The sequence below is a fragment of the Homo sapiens genome, chromosome 9, assembly GCF_000001405.40.
Source record: "Homo sapiens chromosome 9, GRCh38.p14 Primary Assembly".
Lineage (NCBI taxonomy): Eukaryota > Metazoa > Chordata > Mammalia > Primates > Hominidae > Homo > Homo sapiens.
Window position 1 is genome coordinate 42,364,372 of NC_000009.12, and position 9,033 is coordinate 42,373,404.

A 9,033-nucleotide genomic window follows, 5' to 3' on the forward strand; every position below is an offset into this window, starting at 1 on the left:
AGTTTTCAGAAACAGTTAACTTCAAAATCCTATACATGCTATACATGAAGACAGTAAAAACATGGATGGAAAGAAATAATCAGTTTATTTACATTTTCTGTTTATATGATAAGTAGTAATTTAGCTGAGGTTGACAATTCATTTAAATGAGATAAAAGTCATTTACATTGTCTCTGTGGCTGTTTTCACGATACAAAGGGATGCAAATGTAGGGTGTTACTGAGCAAACAATGGGCTTGCTGCCTAATGTACATGGAGGCCAAGACCATGGCACTGGCTTTTGAGGAAAAAAAAGCTTCATTGCAAGTGGACTGGTAAGGAGACAGGAGGAAGTGCTCCAATATATCACCCCCAGCTGGTGTTTGGGTAGGGTTTTATAAGCATAGGGTAATGAGGTGTGATCTGATTGAATTCTGCAATGAGATGATTCCAGGAGGCATGATCTGATTCGATCCCACAATGGGCTGATGCCAGAGCTCAATTTGATTGGATCCTGGATCCTTCCATACTGCGTCTGCTTCTTAAGTCAGTCCCTGCTCCTTGGTCTTCTCCTTGGTCTGGGCACTTCTCTTCCCCTTGTGGTTGCATACTTGGTTCATCTGGGCATGCTCAGTTTACATGACCTTCAGCCTGAGGGCTCAGACCAACTCATAACTTTGTTGGATTAAAGTTTAGCCAGATTTGTCTGGCGCTGTTGCAGGTAGAGCAGTTGTGACAGAGACTATGTTGCCCTCAAAGCTGAACATATTTACAGTGGTGCACCCTTATCCACAGGGGATTCCTTCCAAGATCCTCAGTGGACACCTGAAATCTTCAGTAGTACAGGACACTATACATATTGTGTTTCCTTTACATATATACTTATAATAAAGTTTATAAATTAGGCACGGTAAGAGATTAACAACAATAGCTACTAATAACATAGAACAATTCTAACAATAAGCGAGCATCACTATTCTTGTGCTTTGGTGCCATTATTAAGTAAAATGAGGGCTCCTTAAACACAGCACTGTGATACCTCAACAGTCAATCTGATAACTCAGAAGGCTACTAAGTGACTAACGGGCAGGTAGCGTATAAGGCATGGATATGCTAGACAAAGTGGTGATTCGTGTTCTAGGAGGGACACTACTCAAAACAGCGTATAATCTAAACTTATACATTATTTCTAGAATTTTCCATTTAATATTTTCAGACCACAGTTGACCACATTTAATTGAAACCACAGAAAGTGAAACCATGGATAAGGGGAACTACTCTATACCATATCATCTGTCACCTTACAGAAACTGTTCACTGATCCCTTTTGTAGACTAAAGAGTCATAAAGATTTCTCACTATGTGAGATAGAATAATTTTTAAAAGCGTAAGTTCCAGTTTACACTTTTAAGTTCCAAGTTCCCTCTATGACTGATCATCTGACTTTGCATGAGTCACACAAGCTGAGTCCAGCTGTCCCCAGCCACTGAGATACAGATACTAACAAGCACCTCTACTCAGTTCTCAATCTGTCAAGTGTGCAGTGAGCATCTAAGGTCAAGAATACATTTCAAAGATCACAGCAGCTGGTGCTGAGAATACCATCGAAATATAAATAATGGCCTTGGCAATGTAACTGAGAAGACTAGTATATTTGAAACATGGGAGGCAAACTCAAGACAGAATATAAATACATTTAATTACTAAGTCAAGGAGTAAGTTCTGGTATATCCATACAGTGGAATATTTTAGCAGGCATTAAAAATGAAATCTTTCGGCCAGGCACAGTGGCTCATGCCTGTAATCCCAGCACTTCAGGAGGCCGAGGTGGGCAGATCATGAGGTCAGGAGATTGAGACCATCCTGGCTAATATGGTGAAACCCTGGCTCTACTAAAAATACAAAAAATTAGCCGGGTGTGGTGGTGGGCGCCTGTAGTCCCAGCTATTTGGGAGGCTGAGGCAGGAGAATGGCGTGAACCTGGGAGGCGGAGCTTGCAGTAAGCCAAGATGGCACCACTACACTCCAGCCTGGGCGACAGAGCCAGACTCCATCTCAAAAAAAAAAAAAAAGATATTTTTCAAAGAAATACGTTTATGATGGTTTGGTTTTAATTGAGATACATAAATACTTCAATTTCTGTAATGGCTGTGAGATGTTCCTGTTTTAACTCCCTTCTTGGGAAACTATTTCTGTTTGCAGATGACATAATCCTATATCTAGAAAATGCCATCATCTCAGCCCAAAAGCTTCTTAAGCTGACAAGCAACTTCAGCGAAGTCTCAGGATACAAAATCGATGTGCAAAAATTACTAGCATTCCTATACACCAACAACAGGCAAGCCAAGAGCCAAATCACAAATGAACTCCCATTCACAATTGCCACAAAAGAATAAAATACCTAGGAATACAGCTAATCAGGGAGCTGAAAGACCTCTACAAAGAGAGCTACAAAACATTGCTCAAAGAAATCAGAGATGACACCAAAAAATGAAAAAACATTTCATGCCCACAGATAAGAAAAAAACAATATCATGAAAATGGCCATACTGCCTAAAACAATTTATAGATTCAATGCTATTCCCATTAAACTATCATTGATATTCTTCACAGAATTAAAAAAACTATTTTAAAATTCACATAGAACCAAAAAAAAAAAGCCCAAATATCCACAACAATCCTGAGCAAAAAACACAAAGCTGGAGGCATCACACTACCTGACTTCAAACTATACTATAAGGCTACAGTAACCAAAACAGCATGGTACAGGTACAAGAACAGACACATAGACCAAGGGAACAGAAACGATAACCCAGAACTAAGACCACAGACTTATAGCCATCTAATCTTCAAGAAACCTGACAAAAACAAGCAATGGGGAAAGGATTCCCTATTTAATAAATGGTGCTGGGAGAACTCTGGCTAGCCATATGCAGAAAATGGACCGTATAGAAAAATCAACACAAGATGGGTTAAAGACTTAAATGTATAACCCAAAATTATAAAAAACCTAAAAGAAAACCTAGTCAATACCATTCAGGACACAGGTATGGGCAAATATTTCATGATGAAGATGCCAAAAGCAATGCAACAAAAGCAAAAATTGACAAATGGGATCTAATTAAACTAAAGAGCTTCTGTATAGCAAAAGAAACTGTCATCAGAGTGAACAGACAAGCTACAGAATGGGAGAAAAATTTTGCAATCTATCCATCTGACAAAGGTCTAATATCCAGCATCTACAGGGAACTTAAATAAATTTACAAGAAAAAAACAACCCCATTAAAAGGTGGACATTCTTTTCACTCTAGGAATCTCTGATTTGTCTCTGGCACTTTCAAGAATTTGTATATTTCTTTGTCATCTGATGATTCATTAAAATGTATCAAGGTGTTGGAGATTTTTTTTTCATACTGCTTGTAGATTTTTTTGCTTTCCTTCCTAAATTCATGTTCTTAGCCTATTGTGACTCGGCTATATGCAAGAAGTCTGGCTCAGCCTTCCCAACATTTTATGTGTCCAAGGCCTACTTTTACTTTCCCCTGAGTAGTTGTTAATACCCCAAACTCTGGGTAACCCAGGTCAGTTTCTGTTCCCCAGGCAACTGTAGCTCCTGTACTGCTTTTATCTATTTCTGGATTGCCATCAGGGCTTCCTTGAGAGCTTCACATTTACTTAAAAGTAGACTTGATAAAATTTTCTGATATTTTGTAGCGCTACAAGGCTTTTTAGGAAACCCAGTTTGGCCAATTGACAGAAATGGAAGTCCAACTTGGGTGGGATAACTATTATTGTCAATCACTTTATATAGAATGAAACAGTGGTGCAGAGACATGACTTTGAATTATGCAAGGTCAAAGTGCCAACATACTTCAGATGTGGAACTTAAAGTCAACAAATCTGAAACCAACGTTAATGTGTTCCTCAATACTTCAGTGAATACAATTACTGATAGCAAGGTGAGTAACCTAAAGCAAAAACAAGGGACTACTTTACTCCTTGTGTTTAGTCCTATTCCATAACATAGTTTGTGTTCTTGGAACTATAAACTTCATCTTTTTAACTACTTGCCACATGGTAAAACTGACAATCATGGAATATGTCATGTTATCCTGTGACTTAGAATGTCTGGTGGGGCATCACTCCACTCTTCTGGAGAGAACATGTATGACAGTTTGAAACATTCAAAATGTGCTGTTCTTTGCAGTCAGGAAAGAACTTCAGGGCAGGACAGAAAGAAATCAGTCACAACATTTCAGATATTGGTGTTAGAAGGAGTTATTTAGGGAGTTATTTAAAGATAAGACATACTTCCTGGCTCTGTTGAAATCACATCGTGTAAGAAGCTGCCTATTTCATTAATACATAAAGCCAGCCTTCCTTTACAAGTAGAGGCTACATTATCCCTGATTATACTTTATTTTTAAAAACTGAACTTGAGGAGAGAGACTCAGGCCTGTATCATACACTTTCCTTAGTTTTTGTTTTGTCAGAAGCATATTATTAACAAGTAGTCTCTTTCAAAAAGACAAGATACAAACGAGTAGAAAAAAATCCATTCTCTTATCTCATGATGGTTAGATTATTTAAGAGTTGAAGTGATTGCTATGTCATTTGCATAAATTCAAGGACTTTTATTTATTTATTTTTTCATTTTTGAGATGGAGTCTCGCTCTGTCACCTAGGCTGGAGTGCAGTGGCGCGATCTCGGCTCACTGCAAGCTCTGCCTACCGGGCTCACGCCATTCTCCTGCCTCAGCCTCCTGAGTAGTGGGACTACAGGTGCCCGCCACCACACCTGGCCAATTTTTTGTATTTTCAGTAGAGACGGAGTTTCATCCTGTTAGCCAGGATGGTCTCGATCTCCTGACCTCGTGATCCGCTCACCTCAGCCTCCCAAAGTGCTGGGATTAGAGGTGTGAGACACCGCGCTTGGCCAAATTCGAGGACTTTTCTCTCTCAATTGCTTACAATTAAAAATTTTGTAGTAGCAAATGCTCACAGATTTGGGGCTTTCAGAAATGTCTTTTCAAACTAAAAACTTTTAAAATAAATAATATTGCAGATATTTAAAATAATAATATTTCTAGATTGCAGAGGAAATACAAACTCCCAGTTAATCATACCAAATATATTCTATGTTCTTTAACTTCTGGTAGAAAAAAAATCAGATTTATACTTTATATCTTCCTGTATTTTAGAAAATAGCAGACAATGAGAGAAGATCATTCTCTAATGAGATATTTGGGATCCAACACAGAATAAATGTCTGTATCTTAATTTTAAATTTTTACTATATAATTATTGATATCTTTTCCTAAAAGGGGAAATCCCTTACTCTAATTTTGAGATTGATATTTAGAATAATTGCTAAACTAAATAGTAGACTTGAAAAAGCTTTGCTCATAAAATTCTTAGATTTATTTTATTTTACAGAAGTGATAATCGTAATTAACAAAAATTCTTAAGTGTAATAAATTCATTTTGGTAGATTTTGGTATGTAAATGAGAAAACAGTCTTCTAACTATAACAAATTATTTAGCTTAAATAGTCTGTCATATAAAATTTGGTGAAAAACTAAAAAAACAGTAACAAAAAACTGAGCCTATTCAAATTATATGTAAAGTTTGTGCACAGTATATAAAACTAAGTTAAGTAGGCTTACAAAATAACACTTCATATAGTATTTTGGGGAAACTCTTTCTCCAAGAGGAGAAAAAATAGCCAAATAGGAAAGAGAGTGCAAGGTTTTAATCAAGTGTGTCTCTTCCCTTGGCTTGTGTGGGAAGATTGTAGATGGGAATACTAGGATCAGATTTAGAACACTGATCTGATGTCAATGACCTAACTCAGCATAGCCAGCAAGGTAATATTTCCAGATAAAGAGAGAAAAAAAATTCTCCTAGATAAGAAAAAACAACAGGGTGCTCTCAAAACCAGCACTGTAATCACCACTGAGCTAATTAGCAGGACATTTAAGGCCAAGGCACCATGGAAAGGCCAGAAAGAGACAAAAGTCAATAAAAATGGTCACTGACGACAGAGTCACAGTGCCTGGCTGACAGATGGTGCTGAAAATCCCTGAGAGATGAGGACGACTTCAGATAAGAGTGGTCCAGGGAAGATACTCAGTCATTGACAAAGCACAATGGGAAGGGTCAGTAAAAAGATCAATAACAGAAGGAAACAGCTGCCACATTCATCATTCTTAACGTCAAGGTTGACATTGGATAAATGGAGTTGGCCTTCTTTTTTTCTTTTTTTTTTTTACAATAGTTTAGTGCAGAAACCTCTAAAAGGAGCTTGTACATGAAGAACTGAAGTGAGAAGCCTAGCCATTTGTATACCTTTTAGTAATAGAGACTGAATATTAAAACAGACAGTGGCCAAACCACGTACGACAATGGAACTCTGACCCACAACCACTGCAGCAACCAGCTTGGGAAGGCAAACCACAATCTCTGCAGCAGCCAGTTCAGGAATGCAAGCCACAAATTCAGTAGCAATTTGCCGAAAACAATCAGAGGTTGGTCAATGACTGCCAACTTCTCTAAGATTGCCCCTGCTTCTAGTTTAGTACTAATTAAAGAAAGCCAAATACTCTCTCCAAACCTATCCCATCAGATGCCTTGCTTCTCTTTAGCCTACCTGCACCTCTCCATGCCCATAGCCACCTACCCCAAAGCCTTGCCCCTTTTCACTATAAAGCTTTCCCATTCTCCCAGCCTGAGTCTCTGTCAAACATAAATGATAGCGACTGCCTCCCTTTCTCTAGCAAGCAAGAAATAAATAGCTTCTGTTCTCATTAAGTTGTCTCCTTTATTTCTGTAATTTTCTGTTTTTTTTATTTTTTTATTTTTTTGAGACTGAATCTTGCCCTGTCACCCAGACTGGAGTGCAGCAGCACGATCTGGGCTCACTGCAGATCTGGGCTCTGCCTCCCAGGTTCAAGAGATTCTCCTGCCTCAGCCTCCCAAGTAGCTGAAACTACAGGCATGTGCTACCACACCTGTCTAATTTTTGTATTTTTTGCAGAGACAGGGTTTCACCATGTTGGCCAGGCTGGGCTCGAACTCCTGACCTCAGGTGATCCACCTGCCTCAGCCTCCCAAAGTGCTGGGTTTATAGGCATGAGCCACCATGCCTGGTCTGTATTTCTGTAATTTTCCTAGAAGCTCCACTGAGACACATTCTTAACTGCTCATCACCATGGACTTTGGACCCTGATCAAGTGCAGTATCTATGGAGGCCTCTTGTGCCTTGCTTCTTGAGGCCTGTCAAGTCTGTGTTGACACAGTGTCTGTGAGAGAACAGAATTGGGCTTCAACTCTGTTCTCTTTGTATTGAGATCCTTGGTTATTGACTCTCAGCTTGGTACTCAGCTTTTGCTACCAATTCCCATTTGTTTGGCACCTTTGGAAAAATACTGCCATTTCTTTTCATTCCTTTTTGTTCTCTTTTGTGCTTCTGTTTTGTGAGATAAGTCTAAAGTGTTGTCTGTTATCAGAAGGAGAATCAGTGCAGAACACAGGCATTGCTCCTCTAAGAGTGTCTCAGCTTGCTCCACAACTGATGAGCTGCAATTCTTACCAAACCAGCATCCATCTGGACAAACTTTCCTAAACTTTCCTGTCAGTCACCAATAAAATGGGATAAGGTTCATCTTTTTTTTTTTTTTTTTTTTTTTGGCCCTGAGAGGTTGGATTTGATGCAGAGGGAATATTCTGGTTTTCCATTTGCCTGTGGGCACAAGTTGTCAAGTCTGCATTTGGAGGTTGCCAACTATCAGGTTGGGGGCCTAAGACATAAAGTGCACAAATATTACTTTCAACTGACCATTGCCAGCTCCCATGGAATTTTCTGAGTGTACATCCTCTTTTCCTTTTTTTCCTCCAGGAAAATCTCCCATTTCTTATATGTACCCTTGCTATGATCCTAGCACTTGCACCCATCTCTATACCAAGGATAATTTAGGCCTTCAGTGGCTAATCTGGAGAACACTGGACTTGAACAAAATTGTTCATTTGAAAAACACCTTAGAAAAGAGAGAATATTTCTCAGGGGCAATGGGCAGCAGTTTTTGATTGGTACACAAGTTTTCAAATGAAATTCTGATTCAGACATTACTCCGTTAAAATATTTTTTGGCCAGAGCTAATGAACAGTATGACAAACTTAACAACAAACTAACTCATTTGCCCAGCAAATCTTCCCCCGGCTTCTCCTCCAGTTGACTTCAGCTCTGCAACTCTTCCTCATTCCCCCATCCTCCTTTCACACCTCATTGACTCCTCCCTCTTCTTCCAGACCCCCTACCTTCTCCCAGTGACTCTCCTAAGATCCCGGAATGTCATTTACCTCTAAAGTTCCATCTCTTCAATGACCCAAATACGCAAGCAGCAGTAGAATTTAAACCTTGAACACGAGCTGAATTAAAAGCTATGACTAAGCATTTCCCAAAGGAGTTCAGAATTCTAAATTCTTTTAGCTGTACACAACTCAGGGTTACCTGAACTATATCAACTTGTATTTATGTTTGTAGATCCTCAGACATTAAATCCTGATGGCAAAAGCCAGTTGGATTCACCGGGACAGAGATCTACAGCATCTTTCTTTCCACAATAAGCCTGAGGGCCAAAAGGAGGCTCAAAAAGTAGGGCAATGTATCCTAAAAGCCTTACTTGAAACATTTCTAGTAAAAATAAAATGGACCACAATTTAATGATGTAAATAAAGAAAAGAAGAAATTATAGGAGATTTTCAGAATAAACTAGAAAACCCCTTTCAACAACATTTGAGTGTTAAAGAAGTGTAAGTGTAATAACGGCTCTTTTACCTACTTTGTTAATGGAATTAAACCTGAAATTGGAGACAATAATTAGATCAAAATTAGAATGGGAAATAGCCACTTTACCTGAACTTCAACACCTGGCTGACATTTTTGCAGAGCCCTAGGACAATAACAAGACAGGATCCAGAATAACCTTACGGCCCTGCAGATCAAACAGTTGAGTGGACGACCCATAGAAGAGGACACCTGCAGATATTGAAAAC

At 38.9% G+C, this 9,033-nt stretch overlaps 1 annotated feature.

Moving 5' to 3' along the window:
- Positions 1,372–1,572: a silencer, noted in NCBI's record as "peak7244 fragment used in MPRA reporter construct". NCBI's record gives its function as "represses an SCP1 promoter by STARR-seq MPRAs in K562 erythroleukemia cells {active_cell/tissue: K562}" and the evidence as "EXISTENCE:reporter gene assay evidence [ECO:0000049][PMID:32103011]".